The 27506-nt window shown below is 35.3% G+C and overlaps 1 protein-coding gene across 3 annotated transcripts in view, besides 2 other annotated features; it reads left to right on the top strand.

Annotated features, from left to right (window-relative positions):
• ATG3 (autophagy related 3) overlaps positions 1-26989 on the top strand; it is a 29453-nt gene extending 2464 nt beyond the window's left edge. For 2 of the 3 annotated variants that reach the window (XM_011513074.1, NM_022488.5), the window contains exons 2-12: positions 1082-1123; positions 6170-6219; positions 9237-9307; positions 10859-10966; positions 15393-15442; positions 17615-17696; positions 21319-21353; positions 21609-21764; positions 22897-23024; positions 25162-25230; positions 26719-26989. In XM_011513074.1, coding sequence (XP_011511376.1) covers positions 10885-10966; positions 15393-15442; positions 17615-17696; positions 21319-21353; positions 21609-21764; positions 22897-23024; positions 25162-25230; positions 26719-26800 — 684 coding nt within the window. In that variant the 5' untranslated portion in view covers positions 1082-1123; positions 6170-6219; positions 9237-9307; positions 10859-10884 and the 3' untranslated portion in view covers positions 26801-26989. Of the gene's footprint in view, positions 1-1081; positions 1124-6169; positions 6220-9236; positions 9308-10858; positions 10967-15392; positions 15443-17614; positions 17697-21318; positions 21354-21608; positions 21765-22896; positions 23025-25161 lie in introns of all 3 variants that reach the window. The other variant, NM_001278712.2, reaches the window with a different exon arrangement.
• Positions 19227-19316: an enhancer, noted in NCBI's record as "active region_20245". NCBI's record gives its function as "activates an Ori minimal core promoter by ATAC-STARR-seq in GM12878 lymphoblastoid cells {active_cell/tissue: GM12878}" and the evidence as "EXISTENCE:reporter gene assay evidence [ECO:0000049][PMID:35858748]".
• Positions 19397-19446: an enhancer, noted in NCBI's record as "active region_20244". NCBI's record gives its function as "activates an Ori minimal core promoter by ATAC-STARR-seq in GM12878 lymphoblastoid cells {active_cell/tissue: GM12878}" and the evidence as "EXISTENCE:reporter gene assay evidence [ECO:0000049][PMID:35858748]".
• Positions 26990-27506: the final 517 nt, after the last annotated feature.

The following is a 27506-nucleotide window of genomic DNA, read 5'->3' as shown; positions in this document are numbered from 1 at the left end:
TCATTACCATTTGGCTTTTCTTCCTCAACTGGAGTTGAAACTCCTTATGAGGGCAAGAATAAATTTGTATTTATGTTATTCACCCCCAAATATCCCCACTGCCTCAAATAGTGTCTGGCACATAGTAAACATTTGTTGAATGAATAATGTTTATAAATGAGTGTTTTCATTTTTGTAGACTCTACCAGAAAATCTTACATATAACTTAAAGTTTAGAAAAATTTAGAGAATAGTGTGTCAGTATCTTGGTGGAGATGAGAATTAGAGGAAAATGCTAAATAATTTCTAGATTTGGTTTCTAACATTATTCAGTTTAAATAAGACTGGCTGAATTGTAAGATGTCTAAACATCTTTAAGACATTTTTGCTGTGCTGTAAAATAAAGGTATTTGTTCATTTCACAGAATCACTGTAAGGCTTTATTTTTATTTAAATCTTAGAATGTTTGTACATAGAGCTTGGCCGGGCGCAGTGGCTCACGCCTGTAATCCCAGCACATTGGGAGGCCGAGGCGGGTGGATCACCTGAGGTCAGGAGTTCGAGACCAGCCTGACAAACATGGAGAAACCCTGTCTCTACTAAAAATGCAAAAATTAGCCGGGCATGGTGGCACATGCCTGTAATCCCAGCTACAGGCAGGAGGCTGAGGCAGGAGAATCGCTTGAACCCGGGAGGTGGAGGTTGCCGTGAGCCAAGATGGCGCCACTGCACTCCAGCCTGGGCAACAGGAGTGAAACTCCATCTTAAAAAAAAAAAAAAAGAATGTTTCTACATAGAGCTTTACTCTATTATAGCACTGATCTGATAGTATTATAATTATTTTCATGTCTGTTTCCTACATTAGACTTGTATATTCCTGTGGTCATTACCAGTGAGTGAAACAGATAGATAGATATAGATAGATACCAATGAGGTAGGTAGATAGGTAGATTAGATAGATTATAGATTAGATAGATAGACTAATTTTTTTTTGTATGTGCTCTATTGCCTAGAAGGGCACCAGGCAAATAATTGCCCCCAAAATATATTTAATTGATAGTGAAACATGATATAATATTGTTTTTCTTTCTGCTTTTTTTAGGAATCAAAGTTTAAGGAAACAGGTGTAATTACCCCAGAAGAGGTGAGTGCTGAAGATATACTGAAGTCTTTTTATTTTACAATAATACTAAACTAGGTGGCTTTTCTGCTTCATAAGAAAACATCTTGAACTTTAATTTTGATTTGAGTAAAATTAGGTTTTATGACTGTGATTTATGGGAATTTCTACTTCCCATAGAAGAAAAGATGTAACTTCCCCGTCAGTTTGCCACTTCTCATATTTCTCTGTAGTTCCTCTTTATTTAGAAATGAGGGTGAAAGAAGGGATCAAAATGAGTCCTATGTCACTTATCCTTGACTTGTATTGGTGTTATATTGAGCTGTGCAGTAAGCTCTGTAATGTCTGTGGTGTCTTGGTTCTGTTTACATCAAATGTGAGTTTTCATGCTTTTCATTGGAAAACTTTGCTTACTACTTAGATATTGTTTTCTCTTAAGAGTTCTATTTCGTTGTCGGTGGAGAAGTAAATACTGGGCTAAAAACCTTTTCAGGCTCCAATTTTATGAATAATTATGGTTTTATCAGACTTAGGTTGTTCTTAATAAGAGACAATTTATTTAAGCTTGAATTTTTTTTTTTCTGCCAATGAAAACACCACTTTTTGGCAATAGAACTTTATTCACTGTTTTGAAACAAACGTTTTAAGCCTTATTTTATGATAAGGCTGCTGCTGTTAAGGTCCAAGGTGTGGAGCTAGAGAATTAACTGATCTTTCAATTTTCAGTTGTGATGGAATTTGTCTAGTTCCAAATCTTTGTGGTTTTTTTAATTTTTTTTTCTTGAGACGGAGTCTCCCTCTGTCACCAGGCTGGAGCACAGTGGCGCGATCTTGGCTCACTGCAGCCTCTGCCTCCTGGGTTCAAGCAATTCTCCTGCCTCAGCCTCCCAAGTAGCTGGGAATACAGGTGAGCGCCACCACGCCCAGCTAAGTTTTGTACTTTTAGTAGAGATGGGGTTTCACCATGTTGGCCAGAATGGTCTCGACCTCTTGACCTCGTGATCCGCCTGCCTCGGGATTACAGGCTTGAGCCACTGCGCCCGGCTCCTTGTGAGTTTTAAGAATGGTTTCTGTGCTGGGCGTGGTGGCTCACGCCTGTAATCCCAACACTTTAGGAGGCAGAGGCAGGCGGAATACAGGCTAACAGGGCGAAACCCCGTCTCTACTAAAAATATAAAAAATTAGCGGGGCGTGATGGTGGGCGCCTGTAGTCCAGCCTGGGCGACAGAACGAGACTCCGTCTGAAAAAAAAAAATGGTTTGCATAACTAATCTTTTCTCTAAAATTGTCTTTTGTTTTTGGTGAAGACACATGGTAGTATGGAAATAACCTAGGAGACCTGCCTTCTAGACCTATTTCTGTAATTTCTTTTTTTTTTTTAATTGATCATTCTTGGGTGTTTCTCGCAGAGGGGGATTTGGCAGGGTCACAGGACAATAGTGGAGGGAAGGTCAGCAGATAAGTGAACAAAGGTCTCTGGTTTTCCTAGGCAGAGGACCCTGTGGCCTTCCGCAGTGTTTGTGTCCCTGGGTACTTGAGGTTAGGGAGTGGTGATGACTCTTAACGAGCATGCTGCCTTCAAGCATCTGTTTAACAAAGCACATCTTGCACCACCCTTAATCCATTCAACCCTGAGTGGACACAGCACATGTTTCAGAGAGCACAGGGTTGGGGGTAAGGTCACAGATCAACAGGATCCCAAGGCAGAAGAATTTTTCTTAGTACAGAACAAAATGAAAAGTCTACAATGTCTACCTCTTTCTACACAGACATGGCAACCATCCGATTTCTCAATCTTTTCCCCACCTTTCCCCCCTTTCTATTCCACAAAACCGCCATTGTCATCATGGCCCGTTCTCAATGAGCTGTTGAGTACACCTCCCAGACGGGGTGGTGGCCGGGCAGAGGGGCTCCTCACTTCCCAGTAGGGGCGGCCGGGCAGAGGTGCCCCTCACCTCCCGGACGGGGCGGCTGGCCGGGCGGGGGGCTGACCCCCCCACCTCCCTCCCGGATGGGGCGGCTGGCCGGGCAGAGGGGCTCCTCTCTTCCCAGTAGGGGCGGCCGGGCAGAGGGGCTCCTCACTTCCCAGTAGGGGCGGCCAGGCAGAGGCGCCCCTCACCTCCCGGACGGGACGGTAATTTCTCCTAATGAGGAAATCAGTTAAACTATCCCTGCCGAGGCTTCATGTTTCCTCATCTATAAAATAACGGTTGTGGGCTAGACATTCTGTAAAGATCCTATTCTGCCTTAGGTTTTATTACCTCAAATGCCAAATAAAACTAAGTTTTGATTTTAAGGATATCATTAACATTCTTGCCAAACAGAGGTGTAATTTGAACATGGCTCTTTATCTGAAATCAAGAGCGGAGATGAAAGTATGCTGTTCTTATTGCACTCTTTGGTTTTATTTCCTCTGTGAAGATGACTAATTGTTGAATATATAGTTGCAGTTAGAGATGCAAAGTCTGTGGTCATTGGATAGAATTAAGCAGTTTCAAAACAGGAATTCATCCTAGAATAAATAACTGTTACACTTAATTACAACATCAATCAATTTATGAATTTTCCTCTCTAAAAAAATCCAAGGCCAAATTAGCCCAGCTGGCTGTCTATTACATAATGCAGGGTTGGGATAGAGCACAATTACAGGATTGAGTTAGAGTAGAATGAGCCTGGAGGAGGAAATGGGAAGGCATCATTTGCTTTGTGTAAATATTATATACTGAGTTGATTTGTTCATTTGTTTCATCTTGCTGTTTCTGAGTTTCTGCCAGACATCAGCTATCTTTTTGTTTTCATTCAGAGGTGTGGCAGTATTGTGCTTAAAAAGAGGGGCAGCTAGTATCTGATACTGTATTGTCAAAAAACAAAGAAAAAACTAATGTTGGATGTATGTATGACTTGTTTAAGTAGAATACTATTAATTGAGGTTAGCTTGAGGAATGGAATTGCTCACCAAGGTGTAAATATTGATTCTTGTTGGAGTTGGTCAGTATTATATACTGATAATAAAGATAATAAGAGAACATTTTTAGTCTCTAAGAGAAAGCTATTGCAAGCAATATTGATCATTTAGAAATTTGAATCTTGCATCATTTGAACACGTGAAGCAAGTTATGATGGCCATTGCTAATGAGGGCAGATGTACACATGTATTATCAGTGTGAGTCTGTGTTTTTTTTGTTTTGTTTTTTGTTTTTCGTTTTTCTTGCCTCCTAGTGTTCTTGTTTTTAAATAGAAGATACTATAGGGACTATGAGATAAAATGTTAGTCTTGTTACCTCAAGGCAATACAATGAAAGAATTTTTTATTTTTAATTATTTTGCTTTCATTTAGTTAAATTATTACTTTTAATGGTAATAAATTAGTTCCTGATAACCACAGAGCTAAATGTAGCATCTGGTTGCAATGAGCTCGAAGTGCTCAAAATTTGGGGAAGAGACTATTGTTTTTATTTTGGTTTTTGTCTTTACTTAGGCTGTTTAAATAATAAGGTTATTCGAAGTAAAAGAACAGAAACATAAAGTTTCTATCAGGAATCCAGTTGCTATATCTTGTTAATGTTTCATCTTAAAAGAGGTTATTCTTAGAATTCTTATTTGATAGAATTATATGCTCAAATTAAACTAGAGTATTTTATATAGGCATACTTTCTCAAAGGTATTAGAGATTAAATATTTTGTAATTTTTTGCTGTGTAGTAAACCCATGAACAATACAAGATTTTAAGCTAGAGCTGTTGCAAAATAGAAGTAATTTGGCAAGTATGTGGGTGTCACATGCGTCCATGTGTAGAGACCACCAAACAGGCTTTGTGTGAGCAACAAGGCTGTTTATTTCACCTGGGTGCAGGCGGGCTGAGTCCGAAAAGAGCAAAGGATGGTGAGATTATCATTAGTTCTTATAGATTTTGGGATAGGCAGTGGAGTTAGGAGCAATGTTTTGTGGGCAGGGGGTGGATGGCACAAAATACATTCTCAAGGATGGGGAGAATTACAAAGAACCTTCTTAAGGATGGGGGAGATTACAAAGTACCTTGATCAGTTAGGGTGGGGCAGAAACAAATCACAATGGTGGAGTGTCATCAATTAAGGCTATTTTCACTTCTTTTGTGGATCTTCAGTTGCTTCAGCACATCTAGATGTATACGTGCAGGTCACAGGGTATATGATGGCTTAGCTTGGGCTCAGAGGCCTGACAATGCACATCCTGCTTGAGTTGGGACACTGCAGTTATGCTTAACAGACTTAAATTTTCTGCCCTCAGAAATAAGCAGGATTTCTGTTCGCCAGTAAGATCAGCTCATGTTCGTGTAAACTGATAATTCTCAAATGGTTAAAGTTTATCTCCCTGAATCTGGTTTTTATTTCTGAAGAAAAACAAAAACTTGTACAATATTCAGCCCGCTTAGGAAGTCTAAGGTTTTTTAGAGAGAATTCAATTTGTTAATTTTGTAGGTGTTTTCAGAGTGAGACCAAAAAGCTTCTAACTTTTTCCCATTGTTTTGGCACTGCATTTCTCTTTTAGAAGTGCAAAAAAGCTTTCAAAATCACTTAAATTTTTAAAAATAATAAAAGAGGAAGAGGAAGAAGTGTGCCCAGTGATATAATAAAGTAGACTTACATTATAGACTTGTATCTATTTAGTAATTTTTTTCAGATTTTTATTGTATTTTCAGTCATTGGCAAGAATGTGTCTACATTTTTGTATCCTTAAAATGGATTTTGACAATTTAAATCTGATAGCCTTACATTTATCAATTTCATTATACTGCTTTTGGCATTACTTAATCCAATTATAAAAACTGAATTTTTAAAAAACAGCACTTGTTTTTTCTTCCAAGATTAATTTGAATTTTTTTATGGACATTAGAAAACATTGCAGTTTAGTCATAATCAAAAATAAATCTTGAGGCTGGTAGAGCAGCTTTGTTGCTGTTTATATTTTTATTGCTTACTGGATTTCAGTGTTACCTAGTGCCATCAGTTTGGTATTTTGCCACCTTGCACATTCAGTGATGTTTGATTTTTCTTTTTCCTTTTTTTCATATTACTTTTAAATCCTGAATAGTTTGTGGCAGCTGGAGATCACCTAGTCCACCACTGTCCAACATGGCAATGGTAAGTAATATTGAGTAAAGAATAGAAAATTAGTAAAATGCATGGCTTCAGAATTATAGCAATTTGCAAAATAGGTTAATGGATGAAAATTAGAATGACCAGTTTAACTTTCCCCCCAGCAGATTCTTCTGTTAAACAATGCCCCTTCAAAATAAAGGAAGAACAAGTGGGTGTTATACCTATGTTATTTGGCTATGTTAGCACAATATGATGGACTAATTTGAGAAAAATGCATTTACTTCCTTTACTATTACTTCTTTTCTTTATAGTGTCTAAGTCTGACCTTCTGGTTCTTTGAATAATAAATAGTTTAATAAAATTTGATCAGGTTTTTGGCAGGGCGCGGTGGCTCACACCTGTAATCCCAGCACTTTGGGAGGCTGAGGCGGGCAGATCACGAGGTCAGGAGATGGAGACCATCCTGGCTAACATGGTGAAACCCATCTCTAAAAATGCAAAATATTAGCTGGGCATGGTGGCAGGCGTCTGTGGTCCCAGCTACTTGGGAGGCTGAGGCAGGAGAATGGTGTGAACCTGGGAGGTGGAGCTTGCAGTGAGCCGGAGATGATGCCACTGCACTCCAGCCTGGGCAACAGAGTGAGAGGCTCCCGTCTCAAAAAAAAAAAAAAATTTTTGAACAGGTTTTTTTTTTTTAAATTAACAAAATTTACTGAACATGTTTGTGGCATTAATAAATGCAGAGATTTTGCAGTTTTATGTTCTTTAAAATATAAAACATAAACGTTTTCTGTTAGGTTCAAAAGTATGCTCCATCTTTAGGAAACTGGCTAAAGCTAAAAGAAAGGTTTATGATACCAATTAAGGCCTTCATTATAAATCTGCTTTTAAGAGGCTTTAAGTTTTTATTTTTTTTCAATACCTTTTATTTTAATTACTAAGGTACCTTAAGCAATTTAGCAGTTTTCACAATCTATATTTTAAAATATTCTGAATAATAACAGTGTTTTATTACTTCCAAGTACTCACGATAAAGACTCCCTGTTGGTAGCTGAAAAAATGATCCCAATATTGGCAGAACTTTTATTTAAACTAGGATTGTTTGGAATTATCACCTTGTTTGTATATAGGTGCTTCAACTTAATATATCTTTTTTCTTAAAAATTGTTTTTCAATTGTAGTTGAAAGGTACAGTTTTGACTGGGGATAGGAATTCTATAATTAATAAGTTTCCAATTGATAATGTTTTTCTAGCTTCAAACTCTTTCATCTGTGGCCTGGTATTCTCCTGCATTTTAATACTTACCGTGTCGCTGAAACAGTTGTCACTGCTTTTTTCAATTACTCTTTATTTTGTAGGGCATTATTTATGTACCAAAAGACTAAAGTTTCAAGTTTGTTTTTATGTATTTTTCTCTCCTACATGTGTTTTTTGTTCCATATTTAAAATTAAATTCATGTCATAGAAGATCTCTGATTTAATAAAGGTGGTTTTTTTTTCTTTCTGTATTCCAGATTTTCTGTTAAAACTATATTTAGCTAGGTTCTGGTCTATAATTTATATGTATTTCAAGTCAAATAGGGAAATGAGGTTTACAGTAGTATTCATTTTGTGAAAATAACTGATTCAGGTTTTTTTCTATATGATAAGCATTTTCTTCATTGAGATTTCTTTGTTCTACCAGCTTAATTAAGTAGTTTAGGTATTTGATTTATAGCATTGTTGTAGGGGCTTGTATATATGGACGGGATCTTTTTTTAGCAGGTACTAGTAGTTTTATTCCATTTTATGAATTAGAGTGATTTAAATACTTTTATTGTAACTTAGAACTGAATTATACCCCACTTCAGTGTCCACACTTTTGGCTAAATTCCTGGGCCAAAGGAAAAATTCATTTTAAATCAGCACTAGAGCCAGGTTATTTCCATGCTTATGCCTTCACGTGCACAAGTGCTATCATGACCTTATTTTAACTCTTTCCTCAGAACTTCGGGTGTTGCCATGACATTGTTGAATTTGACACTTGGGACTAGTCAAAAGAAGTCTAGAAGGCCGTCAAATAATATTAGGGCATTTCCTGACTTTACCTTGTGCCCAGATCTATGGTTTGAACTTTAGACTGAAGCTTGAAAAGACAGCTGAACTCCAAATTTATGGCCATATGTTTGTGAAAGGCACCACATACCACTCCACCTCTCACCGTTTTCAGATGACCCACAAATTCTTAAGAAGAGGTGCCAGAGCAGCTCAGAAATGTTGTAGATAGTTGGCTCTGACCCACAGAGGGAGCAGTGTTTAAGAGTAGGAGCCCTGAAGTCACTTGGCTTTGACCCTTGCTCTCCCACCAAGTTTTGTGATCATAAGCAACTTGATCTGTTTAATCTTTAGTTTACTTAACTATAAAATGGGATATTTATATGTTCTACTGTTTAGAGTTATGAAGACTAATTGAAAATAACATGTTGGAGACTTAAATTCTATACTCAATAAGCACTCAATAAAAGGTTTTTTGTTTTCAAGAATTATTAATATTGTCATTTTATGATTCAGAGCATCTTTTATCTCTTAATTCTGATTTTAATCCAGTGATAGGAACAGGGATTTTGCCAGCCACCTACAGTGTTACATAATGTCATGCAGCTTTTTTTTCTGCCTTTTCTTGTTCTCAAGATGAGCAGCAGTACTTTAGGATTAAAAATGTGAGAGATTATACAGTGGGCTACAACTCACTGAGGAGCAGCATATTTTATTGTTGTTTAGAGGCAAACATAATAGTTGCTTAATAGTTCTATATTATTCTACCTTTTTTGTCTAATATTTAATCCAAATTCTCTTGGGTCTATCTGCATCTCTTAGTATGTTTCACTTAGATTATTGTTGTGCTTTTCTCCATGCCCTGACATGTATTACTTAATGGAGTCCTTCCCAAATCAATTTTAAACCAATTTTCTGAGAATTATGGATTATATCATTTTGAGATTTATATGCAATACTTTCTGCTGTATATTTGCCTATTAAAATATGTTTTGTATTTTGGTGCTTTTCACTGTTTTTAAAGGGCTACAGGGGAAGAATTGAAAGTGAAGGCATACCTACCAACAGGCAAACAATTTTTGGTAACCAAAAATGGTAAGAATTATGTTGCATATATGAATAAATTTTGCGTAGAGGTATATTAAAATGAAGCTCTCGGTTTTTCTATTGCTTGAAAATTTTTTCCTTAGTTTTATCACCTCTTTCTGTTATTTCTTTTTGCCAAAAACATATAGTTGTCAAGATACGAAGGAAGAGGGCCCTAAGGAAAGTTAGACTTCTAAGTGGATTTTTTTGAAGTTGGCTTCATAATAATCTTTCTAGGTATTTGATTTTAATCTTCTTTAGACTGAAATTTTGCATGGCAAATGAAATTCATACTACCTATGACATCTAAAAGCTCAGAGCTGACGATGTTATTATCCGTTGTGTCATTGAAGGACACAAAAATATTTTGAAACAGGTAGTGGTTTTTTTTTTTTTTTTTTTGGTTGTTTTGAGACAGAGTCTCACTTTGTTGCCCAGGCTAGAGTGCAGTGGCCTGATTTTGGCTCACAGGTTCAAGCGATTCTCCTGCCTCAGCCTCCCAAGTAGTTGGGATTACAGGCCTGCCACCACGCCCGGCTAATTTTTGTATTTTTAGTAGAGACAGGGTTTTGCCATGTTGGTCAGGCTGGTCTCGACCTCCTGACCTCAGGTGACCTGCCCACCTTGGCCTCCCAAAGTGCTGGGATTACAGGTGTGAGCCACCGCGCCTGGCTGAAACAGGTAGTGTTTTATTTATGAAGTTAAATTTAAAAACAACATCAAAAGGTTGTTATAGTTCCTAACTAATCACAAAACAATACATTGATTTCTGTTCCAATTTACTCATTATAGGAAAGGGAAAATAAAGTGAACAGAACAGCAGTTTTTTCTTTTCTACAGCATATTTCTTTTTACAAAGGCTGATAATTTATATCCTGATTGTTTTAAAAAAATCAGGAGATTAAAAAGCAATTTGTTGACCTTATACCATAATGCTTTTACCATATAATTACCCAATCTTAGGCTTATGAATAATAATACCTGTTAATTGACACATTTGCTGTATGAACAACTTACTAGTGTGGTATAAAGAAGTAAAAATCAGAAGGTTGGTGAATTTTAAACTGTTTTATCCATTGTGAATAACTGGAACTTAAATATGAATTATAAAATTTATATTGAAAGTTACTTTAGCCTTGAAAACAAGAGTTCACCTTTACCACCACTGACTATGATAGCTGGTAGCTCCATGTTCTGAAAGTAAAGCCATTAAAATAAGGTATTATTATTCATTAGACTGAAATTGAACTATGATATGTATCTCTGACATCAGCCTGCTGTTCTTCACAGACCATCATGGTAAAGGAATGCATAGAACATTCCCAATAGAGCTTTTCTACTTGTCTTCTGACAAAGCAATTTAGGAAAAGGTAAATGTAGCCAAATAATTATGTGTCTATGAGCTGAATGTAACTCTTAATCACCTTTAAAAGTGAAATATTCACTTAGTACTTTGGTGGTATAAACACCCTATTTTATGGACTAAGCTCTCTTCTTTCTAATGGATTTATGGTTAGCAGATTACGTGCTAGTTAACTGTATTTACCATTTTTTTTATAGTGCCGTGCTATAAGCGGTGCAAACAGATGGAATATTCAGATGAATTGGAAGCTATCATTGAAGAAGATGATGGTGATGGCGGATGGGTAGATACATATCACAACACAGGTAAGAGGAGAATAAAATGACATATATTTAGTTTAAATTAAACTCTTTCACAATCTTTTATAATAGCCTTGATTTAAAAAAGAGGATACATAAGGCATAGTTTTGTCCCAATAGACTTACATGAAAAAAGCAGGAGGACAAATTTTAAAAAAGAAGCCTTTAGAGTATGCCAAATTTATTTCTTTTTTTGAGACAAGAGTCTTGCTCTGTCACCAGGCTGGAGTGCGATCTTTGCTCACTGCAACCTCCACCTCCCGGGTTCAAGCGATTCTCCTGCCTCAGCCTCCCGAGTAGCTGGGACTACAGGTGTGCACCCCCACGCCCAGCTAATTTTTGTATTTTTAGTAGAGATGGGGTTTCACCATGTTGGTCATGATGGTCTCCATCTCTTGACCTCGTCATCTGGCTGCCTCGGCCTCCCAAAGTGCTAGGATTACAGGCATGAGCCACTGCGCCCGGCCAGAGTATGCCAAATTTCTATAATACCTGCTACTTCCATTGCAATTTGAAAATATTATTTTCTTAGTTTCTAAATACAGAGAGGGAAAAAAAAGACCGTCAGAGATGCTGAATATGCATACTACTTTGCTTTACAGTCTCTTGCTTACATGTCATTGTCATTCCATTGCTGGATTATGTGCTCCTCTATGACAGGAACTATACTGTATTCACATTTACCCAGAGAACTGACATCTATTAAGTATTTAATAATTATTTGTTAAATAACGACTAAAAGAAATTTTCAGTACTGTAAGCTCCATGAAGGTAAAGATTCATTGTTGAATTCTCAGTATCTATCACAGTGTATGATGTAGAAGTTGTTCAGTAAATATTTGTTAAATGAGTTGAATGCAAGGTTTTTATAAGTGTTTCTATGAGTTATTTGAAACCCTGAATATACTTTTTTATTCTAAGTCCTAAAACACTGTTTTGCCACTATATTTATATAACTATGTACATGCATATTATCATATGCTGCTGAAGCTAACTACCATTTATTACTTAGTTTTGATGAAGAAAATGTGCTCTAAGTTTAAATCCATGATACTAAAAACAAATTTTTCTCCCTTTGAGTCCTAGAGGTTAGGAGTTATATCCTTAGTAGTAGTAATAAAACAGGGTTTCTCAACCTTGGCACTGTTTTTTGGAATGGAAAATGTGCTCTAAGTTTAAGTCCATGATACTAAATATGTTTTTCTCCCTTCGAGTCCTAGAGATTAGGAGGTATATCCTTAGTAGTAATAGAACAGGGTTTCTCAACCTTGGCACTGTTTTTTGGAATGGATAATTATTTTCTGTGCATTGTAGAATGCTTACCAGTATCTCTGGCCTGTAACCACTGGATACCAGTAGCATCCCTCAGTTTTAACAACCAAAAATGCCTCCAGAAATTGCTGAATGTTCTGTTGGGGGAAAAATTGCTGCCTTCAGTTGAGACTCACTGCAGTAGACAGAGGGCTAAGTATCTGCCCAGGTAAAAGTTCCTTCTTAGGTCAGTTTCTCCCCTACTCTGAATAAAGGATACTGCCATCTCTTTCCTTATGGAGTTATAGGCAAAGATTCAGGACTTGGGCTCCTTGATCTGAAATTTATTGGCTTATTAATGAGTCGAGTGCTATATCAAAGCCTAAAGGAAATAACAGATTGAAAAACTTTTAAAAGTAATTTCAAAAATCATCCTTCTTTCCCCCCGCCCCACTGAGTAGTGAAAGTCTTTTAACTCTTCTGCTTTGACTTTTCCATGCCTGGAAGATGTTGGCAACACATCAGTAGGAAATTCTCTGTTGACTGACTGGATCCATTGATTGTGCATTGTTTTTGATGTCAAGTTAGTGACTTATGAGGCCAGATACTGGTTCCTTTTTCAACTCAGTTTCCCTTGCTTTATCCTTGCTTTTCCTGGGCGTTTTCTTCTATTAGCTTGTGTATTAGTCATGGTTCTCTAGAGAAACAACCCATAGGATGTATACAGAGTAGGTTTTGCTTTCTGTGGTTTCAGTTATGTAGTCAACCATGGTCCAAAAATATTAAGTGCCAAATTCCAGAAATAATTCATCAGTTTTAATTTTTGTCCCCACTGTTGGGAGTAGCATGATAAAATCTGCTATCCTGATCCGTTCTGCCCAAGAGGTGAATCATCCCATTGTCTAGTGTATGCATGCTGTATATGCTACCCAGCCATTAGTCACTTAATAGCCAACTCGATTATCAGGTCGACTGTCATGTACAGCGTAGGTAGGGTTTGGTACTATCTGTGCTTTCAGACACCCTCTGGGGGTCTTGGAATGTATTCCCCACAGATAAGTGAGGACTATTGCATAGGTATAGGTATAGATATAGGTAGATAGGTTTTTTTTTGTTTGTTGTTGTTGTTTTTTGTTTTTTTGTGTTTTTTTTAGAGGAATTGACTCATCTGATTATATGGGCTGGCAAGTCTGAATTCTGCAGGGCACACTGGCAGACTAGAGATTCAGGGAGTGTTGATATTGCAGCTTTAGTCCTAAAGCGTTCTGGAGGCTGAATTCCTTCTTCTGGAGGACCTCAGTCTTTTTCTTACAAGGCCTTCAACTAATTGGATGATATCCCCCTATCTTGTAGAGGGTAATCTGCTTTATCCAGTCTACTTACTTAAATGTTCATCACATCTCAAAAATACCTTCAGCAATATCTAGAATGGTGTTTGACCAAACATCTGGGTGCCACAACCTAGCCAAGTTGACATAAAATTAATTACCATAACCCTTTAGAGTATTACTCTCATTAGAGTCATTTGAGCTTTCTTTTTCTTTGTCAACTGTATCCTACTTCTAGAAGTGTTTTAATGGCGTACTACTTATTATATTTTGACAAATTAAAGAGGTTGATTTGCTTTGTTTTTATGTTCCGCAGTCAATTCGTATGTTAAAATTTGGGTTTTACTGTTATGAAATAGTCATACCTATTATATAGTAATTTCTAGAAAAACTGAAGTAAAAGCTTTGTGCTAGACCTGTGGATTTTGACCTATTTTATTTGTGAAAGTGAGCTATTTATTTTGTTTAGGCATGTTGAACAGACATCTCAAAATTTTAGAAGATTAACAAAGGAGCTAAGCATATTCTGTACTTAGGTTTTTTCTTTAGTAACTTTAGATGCTATTGTTTTACTATATTTCTTATTCTTGTTAAACTATTTTGTTAACATTGACAGGTACTTTGAAGTAGAAATGTTATCTAGCTGACTGGTGGTGCTGCCACCTTCTTAAGGCTTTCTTTGAGACAAGTAGGTTTTGAGGTATTTGCCCCGTAGAGTGCAAGAGAATTGAACCAAAAGTTAGCTTGTATGGATTTTAATCCCAATTTCATCATTTGACTGGGTATAACACTCAAGCAAGTCATCTCTCCAGTGACTTCATTTCTTCATAGGAAGACATTATTACTGTAACGTCCTCATAAGATAGTCATTGTGAGGATTAAATAAGATGTGGAAATAGTAGAAAGCCACATATAAATGTGATATGATATTACTACCTTTGGGTATCCTACATTTCTGAAGCAAATAACAAACAGATTGAGTATCCCTAATCCAAAAATCCAAATGAAATGTTCCAAAAGCCAAAACTTTTTGAGCACTGATATGATGCTCAAATAAAATGCTCATTAGAGCATTTTGAATTTTTGTATTAGGGATACTTGACCAGTAAGTATTTATGCAAATATTCCAAAATCTAAAAAAATCAGAAATACTTCTGGTCCCAAGCACTTCAGATAAGGGATAATCAGCCTATATTAAGATAACTAATAGCTTTTTGAGAAAATTTTGATGCAAGTTTAATTAAAATGTACATACGAGTCCTGTAGTTTTTTTAAACTCTTGTCTTTCCTTTTTTTTTTTTCCCTGAGACGGAGTTTCGCTCTTGTCGCCCAGGCTGGAGTGCAATGGTGCGATTTCGGCTCATTGCAACCTCCACCTTCCGGGTCCAAGCGATTCTCCTGTCTCAGCCTCCCAAGTAGCGGGGACTACAGGCACACGCCACCACGCTGAGCTAACTTTTGTATTTTTAGTAGAAACGGTTTCACCATGTTGGCTAGGCTGGTCTTGAACTTCCGACCTCAGATGATCCACCCGCCCCAGCTTCCCAAAGCATTGGGATTACAGGCGTGATCCACCGCACCTGGCCAAACTGTTCTGTTTCTCAGAAAGTGTTGTGATAGAGATTCAAACAAGGAAAGTAATTCATGGTAAAATATTAATGAGTTTTTCAAAATTTGAGGAGGTGCCATTGTGACTATTCTCATTAGAGTTCATTTGTAAAGATACTACTATTATTTGCCTCCTTATTTCAGAGAAATTGTGAGAATTTTCAGCATTTTTATATTGCTTTAATAAGTAAATAGGGTGTTTACAGTTTAATTTTAGTTATTCTTTTCTGCCGAATTTTACATAGGTATTACAGGAATAACGGAAGCCGTTAAAGAGATCACACTGGAAAATAAGGTACTGGTTAATTAGTTATATTTTTAAATTTAATGAGTAGTTATTTGCCTATCTATCTATCTATACACACACATATATAATCACCATATCTTTCTTATAAAAACCCTGGTTTTTTATTATCAAGCTCTTTTAAATTCCAGCTGTTTTCTTCCCCATTCATTTTTCTGTCTCAACACACCAAAACACTACTGCTGCCTAATGCATCTCTTATTTTCCTTAATTTGTAGTATGGTTAAGTAAAACAGCTTTTAGATTGTAACTTGTACAAACTACTAATTTTCACTGACTGGAGCAACTTCTAGGCTAGTTTAAAAGAGATGACTTTTTTGTTTTAAAATGTATTTAGTACCAAATGTCATATAAGTGGAGAATGTTGGGGTGGAATTAACTACTTGCTTACTAGTAGATGCTAATGATATATTAACATTTAAATTTTATAGCTTAAATAGTGCCATAAGCAATTTAATCATTCTCTCTGTATTTTCTTCAATTACTGGTAATTTGGGGTTTATTTGTTTTTGAAAATTTGAAAGCAAACTTTAGCTTGCATCATTCAAATTCATGACATTTTGAATGAATAGAAGCTTAATCTGTTAAGTTTTATTGCATGATTTATGGGGGTAAAACATAATTGGGTAGAGTTTTTTTGCTTGGAAATTTTGAGTTATTTTAGGCTGTTGTAGGTATTAGATTAGCTTTTCATTTCTCAGAGAGATCAACCGCAGTTGTCTTCATGTTTTTATATACCTGTAGTTGTTTGAAATGATATGAAAAAATAATATAAAATGCTTTCACCCTTGTCTTAATTATTTTTTTAACCATCAAATCACTTAGAGGATAGACTATTTGAATGGAATAATTGTGTTCCTAGTCTTATGACACTTTTGCTACAACAGTTACTAAAGATATTCTTTGTGTGTTTTTGTCATTTGGATCTTTCTAGATTTGTTACTGGGGCTTAACAGAAAGTGATAGAAACGAAGACAAGTTTTTTTTTTGTTTGTTTTGTTTTTTTATTTACAGTTTTATGCTTTAAGATTTAGTTCTTTGGCCTGAGAATTCATCATTTTGAAATTAGACTTTTTGGAGTGTTTGAATGACTTACGGAGAAATAACACAAATTGCTTTGCTGTTTTAGAAGATCTTGTTTACTCTGACCATTACTATATATGCTTCAGACTTTGGGAATGATAAATGGCACAGTAGTGTAGATAGTAGTGTTTTTCTTGGACGGGCTTATGGTAATTCCTTTAGTATTTTTTGTAACTTAGAATACTTGCCATCCAAGCAGAAGTATTAATCTTGGTTGTCAATTTCTATTCTACTTTATCAAGTATAAATATCACCAATATGATGAAACTTTTTCTTAATGATTAATTTGTTAAATATTAGCTCATATAATAATTACTCCGACACTGATGGTTTTGTGGTTTTGTGGTTTCAATTTTGGGTGTAAGAATGATTTAAGTTTTAAACATATGACTTAAGTTTCTAGTGTTAAATTAAACCACCCCTAAGTAAAATGTAACCTAGGTAAAACTAAATATTCAGTTTATCCACTTATTATGTTGACTTCAGATTTTCAGAATATTAATTTTGTGAAAACGATACCCAGATGTTAAACCTGTCCATCAATATTCTTTCACTTTAGAGCTAATATAGTTAAGAAATTGAACTGATATCTTGTGCATTTTAATAACTGTAAAGTCTGATAACTTGCCTAATTCAGCTAAGATATTGTTAACAAATTAGAATGTAATAGTGTTTGATTTATATTTTAGCTTATATTTGATTTACAGATATGTGCACTTTTTCCCCTTATAAGTGCACAAGTTAATATAATTTTGAACTGATTTTCTAATACTAATGAATTGATTAACCAAAAATACTGTTTTATTGGAAGTGCAACTGGCAATTATTTTTAAATAGCTTAGATGACTCTTACTGCTCCCATAATAACCTTTGTTATTTTTCAGTCACAGCACTTAGCACGTTACTTTTAATGACTGATATATGAATTCATTATCTTCATTGGAGTTTAAGGTTTTTGTGGACAAGAACTGCCTTGTCATTCTTATTTTCACAGTGGTTACCACTGTGCTAGCACATGGGTGTTCAGTGTTCAAATTAATGTATATACTTAAGTGATTTTAAATATAATTAATTTCAAAGGACAATATAAGGCTTCAAGATTGCTCAGCACTATGTGAAGAGGAAGAAGATGAAGATGAAGGAGAAGCTGCAGATATGGAAGGTATTCCTGTTCTAGATTTGCTTCAGTTCCACTAGAATATTGATTTAGAATATTTGTAATTTATGTGGATTAAGAATTCTTCATTGAGTTGTAAGTTTAGCATTTAGCAGCCTAGTGAGTGTTTTATATATGTTTAGTTCATAAATTTCATTAGTGTAAAACTTATCTTGATCTTGGACTCTTCTATTTTACTCCAAACATAGTCTTGGACAATATCATTTTTATTGGAATAACTATTAGTCATAAATATTTAATACTGGATACGGCTGCAAGATATTAATTCCTAACTGAATTATTTCAGAGCAGAACAAAGTTTGCTTATTATGCATTTTGTATTTTCTTTTCCCTCTTTGATAGCATCTTTCTATTAAAACCTGAAGATAGTGAGTTTCAATGGGGCCTTTTTTTTTTCTTTTTTTGAGACGGAGTCTCACTCTCGCCAGGCTGGAGTGCAGTGGTGCGATCTCTGCTCACTGCAACCGCCGTCTCCCAGGTTCAGGTGATTCTCTTGCCTCTGCCTCCTGAGTAACTGGGACTACAGGTGCATGCCACCACACCCAGCTAATTTTGGTATTTTTAGTAGAGACGGGATTTCACCATGTTGGCCAGGATGGTCTCGATCTCTTAACCTCATGATCGCCCACCTCGGCCTCCCCAAAGTGCTGGGATTACAGGTGTGAGCCACTGTGCTTGGCTAATGGGGCCTTTTGAACTACACAGAATCCCATCAGTTTCCCAAGATTCTGAAAAGTCCTCCTCCTAGAGTTGCCAGTTGAGAATCACTGCATTAGTGAATCATTCTTAAAAGAGAGAGAAACCCACTAGAACAGAGCAGTATGGGTCTGTGAGCACATGGTTATTCAAAGCTTTGTATTTCATGAGCATGATAATCTTTTTCAATACATTTGAAACCTCAGATATTTAAAAGTAGATGAAAAAATTGCTGTCACCAGGGTGACCTCTTTGTTAAATCCAGTTTATCTTTATTACACTTACCTTTTCTGCATTGATTCTGTTAACCATATCTTCCTCTTTTTTTTTTCTCTCTTGGTTTCTATAACACTGGGTTTTCTTACTCTTTCCTGGACTCTTTCTTCTAGTCATCTTCTATGATTCTTTTTCTTTCCCTCAGCTATTAAATGTTACTGTTCCGTGGGTTTCTTTTTTTTTTCCCCTTGCTTACTCTCTGTACTCCCAGATTTTTTCTTCTATAATGGCATTCTGTAGTTTGGCATGAAAATTTGTGCAACAAGAAAGATAGAGTATAAATTACATCCAGTACTTTGTGAGAGTTGAAATATGAATATATTTATATATGTAAATAGGGTGCATGTGTAAGAAGTTGGAAAAAGGAAAGGAATATGAAAAAAAGGCAGGCATTGAAGGCTGTAAGGCAGCTGAATGCCAAAAATACATAGACTTTAGAGTGAGATAGATTGTGTTTTGTAGCATGCAGAAGTAGAAGATGGTGCCAAGTAGAGTTGAAACACCATAATGGCAAGTGATGCTTGCTAGATCAAAAGTACCTTTCTGTTTGTTTTCAAAATTACTTTCAATTCCCCATGAAACCTAGCTATGTCTGTTCCTAAATTTTAGTGAGATTCTTGTCCTTATTTTCATGGTAAACTGCTGTTCCTTAAGGAAATCTGAATGAATTACTTGTAACCAAAATTGATCACAGCAGCCTCACATACCATCTGTATGCTAGGGACTTCCATATCTAGAGGTAGCCTAGATATTCTCAACTTCAGATGTATTTCAGTTTCATTTCCCCCTGGATGTCTCATAGTTGTCAGAAACTGACATCACTTTCTTGGACAAATATTGTTTCTGAATTTCATCTGTCTCTGAATGACATAGTTGACCAAGTTGGGGTGGTGGGGTAGCATAGAACCCTTCGAGTAAAGCACTGTTTTCAAAGTACAAGCTGTGGGATTGCCTTAAATATCTGATAGTCATTTAGTATGTTTATTATATTCCCCCTAGATAGAGTTAAAGAATTGCTATATATGTAATTTTGCTCAACAGTTGTGTTAATGGTATCTAATATAAAGGTAATTTTCATTTATTGAACAAATATTTATTGGGCAGTACAGTATTTATCAGGTATTGTCCTTGGTGTTGGAGATAAAGCAGTAGACATGATTTCATGGAGTTTATATTCTAATCAGTGGAGACAAAAAATAGATAAGCAAAATATATACAGTATTAGTTATAAGTGTTAAGGAAAAAATAAAGGAAGAAAGGGGTTAGAGAATCTTGGGGTGGGAATGAGTATTGCAATTTTTAAATAAATTGGTCAAGAAAAACCTAATTGAAAGTACACGCCATTTAAATAAAGCCTGGAAGGAAGTGAATGAAACTAGGTATTTGAGGGAAGAGTGCAAAGGTACTGAGGTGGGAACACGTTTGGCTTATGTAAAATATTGTAAGGTATGCTTATGTCCAGATAGGAGAGAAGGGAGAGTAGTAAAGGGTGGAGTCAGAGAGGTAACCAGGGACCAGATTCTATAAGGTCTTGACATTACTCAGAGTGAGACAAGCCATTGGAGGGTTTTGTTTGTTTGTTTGTTTTTCAAGTAGAGGAGTGACATTTCAACAGAATCACTGTGCAGTGGTGAGAATAGACTGAAGGGAGAAAGGGACAACAGGAGGCTGTTTGATAATCTAGGCAAGAAATGATGGTGGCTTGGGCTAGGGTCGTAACATTGGTAGGGATGAGAAACAGTAGAATGCTGGAATACTTTGAGGGTTGAGCCAAAGAGATTTGCTGCTGGATTGGATGTCATATGTGACAAGTGGAATAGTCAAGGGTGACTCCAAGGTTTTTGACCTGAGCTTCTAGAAAGATACCATTAACTGAGATGTGGAAAAATCAAAAGTGATTAGCTTTGGAGAGGGAGTCAGGAACTCAGTTTCAGACATGTGATATTTGCAGTGTTCATTAGTTATTTAGTAGAGACGTAAAATAAATAATCCAAGTCCGCAGGCAGGGAATAAATTTGAAAGTCATCAGTATTTGAAGTCATTGAGTCTGGATGAAATCGTTACAGAAATAAGTGTGGTTAGAGGAGAGACAAGGTCCAGAAACTGAGCCCTTGGTTACTGCAGCGTTTGATTTTATGGTTCTTTTTAAAGTAGAGGTGATGAAGAGGAACCAGCATAGAAGATACTGAAACAGCACTCAGTGATGAGGGAGGAAAGCCAGGAAAATATTTTAAAAGCCAAGGAAAGAAAGTATGTTCCAAGGAGAAGGGACTAAATCATGCCACATGTTCCTGATAGGTCAATTAAGATGAAAACTGGGAATTTACCACTGGATTCAGCAAAGAAGAGGTCACCGATGACTACGCAGTTACAGAAGTAGGCTTGTGTACACTGTGGAGCCACTGAGGACTCTACAGTATTATTATGTCAAGCCTTAAACATGCTGGCTTTCTCTGGGCTTTCGCCTTTGGAAGTATAGAATTAGCTCACTTATATCTATCTATTCAATATCTTCACTTAAAAACAAAGGCAAAACCCCAGTTTTTGAATGATACTATGAAGTAATACTTAAATTGGTTTAGGGAATTTTCTTGAACTTGAACTTGATTAATCTTTTGTTGTTTTTTTATAACAGAATATGAAGAGAGTGGATTGTTGGAAACAGATGAGGTTTGTAAATTGAGTTTTCTTTAGTTAATTTTTAATGGATGAACTTGGGGATGCATGTTCTTACTAATAATATATTGATCTTTCAAAGACATTCTAATTTGTTCATATTGATTATAGCATATAAAACGTAGCTTTGAGTTCCAAGTTCATTTACTCTTAAGAAAACAAAATATAGAATGGAAAAAATAAGTTTTCTAGAATGTCACATTCATACCGATTTAATGGTTGTAAATTTTTCTCTTTTATTATTTTCAGGCTACCCTAGATACAAGGAAAATAGTAGAAGCTTGTAAAGCCAAAACTGATGCTGGCGGTGAAGATGCTATTTTGCAAACCAGAACTTATGACCTTTACATCACTTATGATAAATATTACCAGACTCCACGATTATGGTTGTTTGGCTATGATGAGGTAAAAATGAAAAGCATTATATTTTAATATCAATATTTTAAATTGTTGGGTTTTAATTTCTTCTTCATTAGGTCCATGAGTATTTATTGCAGTGTTTCACATTTTGGAAATCATCTGTTTTACAGTTTTATGATTAATGTTGAACTTGATTCTTTCTTATTTTGAATGAACTATGAATTATTCAGTGTAACAATAATGCTAAGACATAAACAGAAATAATCTATTACATATTCCTTTTTTGAAGGCTTATGCCTTCAAAATGTGAGGGAAATTTAACTTGGTTTATTTTATTAAATTTTGTTTGGGATTACATCAGTTGGATATATAGGCATTTACAGAATGACCATGTCACATGTGAAGAGAGTGGATTGTTGTATGTATGTATTTTTCCCCTTAAGACAGAAAACTCATCTACTTAATTGAATTAAAGGATAATTGACAGGAAATCAACTTGTTTAACCTGTCATTCTTATGGCTATACATGGGAAACAAGAAAATAAAGTCAGTCTAAAAGATGAGCCACAAAGTTATAAAATGTTTTGATAGCCACAAACTTGTCTTTTTGTGAGATTTTTTTTCTGCATTGGGGGTAGCTGTCACAGAGCTTGGCTGTGACTCCTTCCTGTCCCTCCCTTGATATTAATAAATTGTAAAATTTCCCAGAAATCATTCTAAACAGTCTAGAATTCTAAATTGCAAGTGATGTGAGATGGAGAACTAAATATATTATAAACCTTGAGATTTAGGCTGAAAGTTTCTAAATAGTAATTTCTTTTTTTTTTTTTTTTTTTTTTTTTTTTTTTTTTTTTTTTTTGAGATGGAGTCTCGCTCTGTCGCCCAGGCTGGAGTGCAGTGGCGCAATCTCAGCTCATTGCAAGCTCTGCCTCCCGGGTTTACGCCATTCTCCTGCCTCAGCCTCCTGAGTAGCTGGGACCACAGGCGCCCACCACCCTGCCCGGCTAATTTTTTATATTCTTAGTAGAGACGGTGTTTCACCATGTTAGCCAGGATGGTCTCGATCTCCTGACCATGTGATCCGCCCACCTCAGTCTCCCACAGTGCTGGGATTACAGGCGTGAGCCACTGCACCCGGCCTTAAATAGTAATTTCAAAGCATTTTTTATGCTTTCAGCAACGGCAGCCTTTAACAGTTGAGCACATGTATGAAGACATCAGTCAGGATCATGTGAAGAAAACAGTGACCATTGAAAATCACCCTCATCTGCCACCACCTCCCATGTGTTCAGTTCACCCATGCAGGTCTGTATATGTAGAGATAAATATATTTTTTGATGTGATTGTATATTTCATGGATTTATTACTTGAGAATCTTTAAACATAGAACCCTAACAGAAAAAAATTTTCTTACTAAAAAGTAAAATTCTCTCTTGTCCTCCTTAGAAATTTTCTTGTGCTTAAATATATAAGAAAAAGGAAAAAAAACTTACCAATTTGTTTTAAGTTTAATATGTTAAGAATTTTTTTGTTCTCTGTGGGTGTTTATAGAATAGATGGATCTTTGTGATTTTACTACACTTTTTAGCTTCCAGAACAGTTTGGAAGATTCTGTTTTTGACTCAGAAATAGTCATTTAGATATGGTTTGCTGTGTTGTGACTGCCTTTCTGTGAATGTAGACTGTGGAGTTAACCTTGTGATTTTTCTAGGTGACCTATTTGCTTTCTTTTATTGATTAGTGAAGGGAGATATATGGATGTATGTTCTTCAGTTGAGAGCTTGTCAGCCTTAGCAAGTCAAGTGCATTTTATAAGTTGGGATTTTCTTTGTATCAGTGTTTTTTCACAGAGCCAAATCTGTGAAGCTGAACCTATATACATGATTAGTTCAGAATTTTTCTTAAAAAACAGTTACTACATGCCAATTTCTTTAGGTTGGTTATTTCTAATAGATAACTTTCCCAGTTGACTGGAAAATACTGGTAACATACTAGTAACAATATTTTTCAGTGAAACTCATATTCTGTTGACTAGTTAGATGAAACATTTTGTTTTCTCTTCCCTCTAGTTAAAAACAACCTTTAATATTTTCTTCTCATATTCTGCAACCTCTTTACTCTCAAACTTTAACTCCGTGGAAGACCTTGCTCATTTTTTCAGTTTTATTATGTCTGAAACTTTGCTAACTATGAAAAATAATTTAGGAGCCATTAGTTTTAGTTTTGAATTATGTAATCTAAAAAGTTTTCAGTTTTTAGAGTTATTCTCTTGATTCCTCTTATGGTTTAAGGTCTTAGGATGGTGCTTATCAAACTGAAGCGTATCTCTCTGAGGTATAAACTTTACTCAGTTGGGGGAAAAATAACTGGTAATTATGTTAAACATTTTAATAAAATAGATGACTGTATTGTGGAATGGGATATAAGTATTTCAAAAAATCTGAGTGCCTATAAAATAAAACTTCAAGGACATTTTAGACCATTCCATGGGCTGCCTCAGATTGTGCCTTCAAATCCTCTGGAATCATACATTTACTCTCATATTCTAAGTTGACTGTCTCTGTCATGAAGATTATAGTCGTAAAAACTGAAGCAGCATTATTTAAGCCAAGGTATGTTAAAAAGACTGTTTCTTTAAAAATTATCTTTTTCTTGGTTTCTGTGCCTAGATACTAACTTTGATATCACTCTTTTCTATAGTACAGGAGAGAGAACAGTTAGCCATGAAAAGATGTATAGATAGGACAAAAACTTCATATAAATAAATACCTTTCTTCTTATAAGCCAAAAAATTTATTTTTACATAGAATTGGATAAATTTTAGAATACCTATTAGGACAAAGAAACAAATACAAACCTCTCAACTCTAACCAATTAGCTTTTCTTAAACCCTCTCAGTTTTGGCTTATTCTCAGCTAAATAAACAGCCCAGATCACAAGATTATAGATACCTCTTTGCTTTTTTGTCCAACTGATACCATGTGTCTTTTTTTTTTTTTTTTTAATTTGCCTGATATGACTCTTGTTTCTTAGAGCAAACAGCTATCATTCCACATTTTCTCCTGGAATGATTTCCTCATCTCTGGTTTTCTGCCTTCCTTGTCTCTCCCAATTATCAGAACACTAACTAATGCCATGGTGTCTGCTGTGACTACCATAGCTTTTTAAGATTATGCCCTCCCCTGGTAAAACTGTTGGCATGGCATAACAATCTGTTATCTTTTGTGTTTCGGAAGTGGAGGGGAGATATTTTATAATTTAACTATTTTAATAAATATTTTATAGTTATTGGGGAGTGGTGGGGGAGATAGTTTATAATATAACTATTAAAAATTAATTCACTGAGAGTAATAGGGTCGATTTCTTTACAAATGAAAATATGTTTTTCTTCTTTCGGTCTAATCGATCTACATTAACAATTTTTTTTTTTTTTGGCTTCTAGGCATGCTGAGGTGATGAAGAAAATCATTGAGACTGTTGCAGAAGGAGGGGGAGAACTTGGAGTTCATATGTATCCTTCCCTGTATGTAAGATTAGTGGCAAAATGGCTGTTAACGATTTTTTTTTTGAGAAATTTAGTGTAACCTTAATGATACAGTAGCTATAACTTGTTTTAACTTCTCATCTGAAAATCCTAGTAGAAGTCTTTCATTTATTTAGAAAATGTTATATTGTGATAGTTATGCCTTGCTTAGTTGATTAGAACATGTCCCCATGTGTAGCAGTAGCTCACCCTTGTTACAGAGGTAACTACTAATTTAGAATAATAATATGAGTATCTTTTTCTTATGTACATTTCCAGTTTAACATGTTACCAAAAATGTACTTTCCCATCAGGTAAAAGTAAAATTAGGTTGTGTCAATCTGAGGTGTCTCTGAAGCAAATAATTCAGCTTAAACAAATACGTTAATTAAAAGTAATGTACTACGTGAAGTGCTTTAGATATTCTTAAAATATAGTACGTTCATTTTTCTCAAGACAGTAGCACCTTTCTTGTATCTTACTATAGTTTTCCTACTCAGTTTTCTTGGATTGACAAAAGTAATACATTCAAGTTAATGCCCAAGCAAACTGTTGGATCCTAAAGTACATGTACTCATAGCATAGATTTATCAAAAACAGTCAAAATCAATGATTTACATGCCAGATAGCTTGAATTAGTTTGATGCTAGGTTAATACTTGACTTGGTGGTGGTTTCGGCTACTATGTGTTAGATTAGATGTGGAGACTAAGATGCCACGTCTAATCAGACTGTGGGGCATTGCTAATAAAGTGTGTCCCTAAGAAGAACTTTGAACTGATTTGATATTGAAACAAACCAAAAACTTCCAGTCCAAACCATATTTACTCCTGAAGTCCTATTATGCCTAACTGGCACATCTCTGCTGGATGCTAGGTAGCAACTTGGAAGACTGTCTATATATAATTCATAATAGTAATTGGTTTCCCCCAATGAAAAGTAAGCTCCTAATGTTTTTAAGTGCAATGAACATAAAAAAATTTCAGAATTTAATTAAAGACAGTCCAGTAGAGCTCAGTCTTTGGCAAATACATACACTAACCTAGAATCAGTCTACTATACAGGATTTTTATTTAATTTTTTTCTCTTTTGCTATAGTACTTCATTATAGTCTATTCTGCCTCATTTTCTGACATAACTCTAGCAAACTTAAAGGAGTCTAGTAAATGAGTACATTTTGTACTCATTTAAACATGTATAGCTTTGTCCTTTTTATGTCAAAGTAATTGTGCTTATATGAACACCTACTCATTAAGAAGTTTCAAATTCAATAATCGAATGAGTGGTCAGGTAGTCTTAAAGAGCCTCATGTTAAATAGACACAAATTTGCATAGTTGAATTCTTTAATAGACTTAATTTAAGATTTTGTGGGGTTTTTTTGAGAAATTAATGGCTTAATAAAATGGATAATTACAACATGGGCTTAAAACATAGAACTATTTACAAATCTTATTTTCCTTAGCTAAAAACCTTTAGGTATCTTCTTATTTTCTTGAAATTTGTACAAGCTGTCATTCCAACAATAGAATATGACTACACAAGACACTTCACAATGTAATGAAGAGAGCATAAAATCTATCCTAATTATTGGTTCTGATTTTTAAAGAATTAACCCATAGATGTGACCATTGACCATATTCATCAATATATACAGTTTCTCTAATAAGGGACTTATATGTTTATGCATTAAATAAAAATATGTTCCACTACCAGCCTTACTTGTTTAATAAAAATCAGTGCAAAGAGAGTTTTTCTTGTGTCTTATTAAAAGGTTATGATTTGATTTCCCCTAAGTAACAATAAGTGAAGACATCTGTCTTATATAGAATGATGACAGATTATTTTTGGTTTACATTTATGAGGAAGGTATTAAGTGTGTAATAGTCTCAAAACTAGGATTAGAAAATACTGTGTGCTAGTTTTCTCTCACCTTTTCCTGTTCTGCTAATAGTTAATATTTATGAAGCGCTTACTGTGTGCCATGAACTCTTTAAGTACTATTGTTTCCTAATTGTAGTGTTAAGTTGATATTGATATCACCAAAATTATTTTTTATTAAGGATTCGGGAATATTTATTGTGGTTGCCTGGTAGAATACTAGAATTTAAAGGGATAATAAGTTTATTCTGTCATGTCAGTTTATAGATCTTGGTATAGGAGTTTAGAAAGGCAAGTTTTCTGCTCTAGGATGCATACTGCAAGCCAAGGAGGAAAACCTAAGCCCTTTATTCCCTTTATACCACTACATGCTTCATCTTTGTTCT

The sequence above is a fragment of the Homo sapiens genome, chromosome 3, assembly GCF_000001405.40.
Source record: "Homo sapiens chromosome 3, GRCh38.p14 Primary Assembly".
NCBI classification, from domain to species: Eukaryota; Metazoa; Chordata; class Mammalia; order Primates; family Hominidae; genus Homo; species Homo sapiens.
Note: the sequence above shows the minus strand (reverse complement) of the source record. Positions and strands in the feature narration are given on the sequence as shown.